At 46.4% G+C, this 923-nt stretch overlaps 1 annotated feature.

Annotated features, from left to right (window-relative positions):
- Positions 559-658: an enhancer, noted in NCBI's record as "active region_20072". NCBI's record gives its function as "activates an Ori minimal core promoter by ATAC-STARR-seq in GM12878 lymphoblastoid cells {active_cell/tissue: GM12878}" and the evidence as "EXISTENCE:reporter gene assay evidence [ECO:0000049][PMID:35858748]".

Genomic DNA, 923 nt, shown 5'->3' on the forward strand with positions numbered 1-923 from the left:
GGGGACAAGCCATACTCAGACCATAGCAGGCCTCTTGCAGAAACTCTGACAGTGTTTGAGGACAGCACAGAAGGGCTCCAGAGAAAGAGGGCTGAGCTAGCGATAGGCTCCAAAGGAGGCTTTTGTTTTGTTTTTTCCCCTCAGGCTCTTCTTCTCCAGAAAATCATTTCAGGGGATGAATTTTTCTCCAAGGAGGAGTTTTTCAAAGTATGTGCCAAATAATACTAGATCTAAATGATACTGAAAGATGTTTCAGACACAAACAGCCTGAATGTTGGAGAAAGCAGGTGTTTTAGGTCTGGTTCCCAAGTAGCTGACCCTGAGCTGAGGACTCATGTGCAAAGGAAGAACTGATCCTGGGCAATGTCCCATAGAGGATAGTGTTAGGCTGGTCCCACAGGGGAACTATCAACTCTGAAAAATGTCTCAGAGCTGCCCCACCTAGGACAACATATTGTTCACTAGTGGATGGTTGTCCCTAGGGGAAGTAAATTTTGGAGCACTTTTATGAAAGCACGCAGAAACCAGGGGTGGGGCAGAAACAGAAACTAGAGATCTGTGTCTATCTGAGTGGAGCCCTGCCATTGTCTGCTACCTCCAGCAATTCTAAATGAATTACAAATTTGAAAGTGTTTTTTTTTGTCTGCAGAACTTTTCAGAGCTTTTAATGTGATCATTGCAATCTCTAAGGAAAGGATAGCACATGTAGCAACTCCCCAACTCAACTAACTATGAGGCTGTCTTTTTTCCAGAATGCCTACAGATCTCAGTTTGGGGAACCCCTGCTCTTAGCGGCCCATATGATGGAGAATGGAGAGCAGAAAAAGCTTTCTCGTGGCCTCAGCTGAACACTGCCCTGGAGTCCTTTGGAAGCCAAGAGGAACCCAGCCAGACTGGGCTCCAGGCCTTACAGGGGCATTCCC

This window comes from Homo sapiens, chromosome 3 (assembly GCF_000001405.40).
Source record: "Homo sapiens chromosome 3, GRCh38.p14 Primary Assembly".
Taxonomy (NCBI): Eukaryota; Metazoa; Chordata; class Mammalia; order Primates; family Hominidae; genus Homo; species Homo sapiens.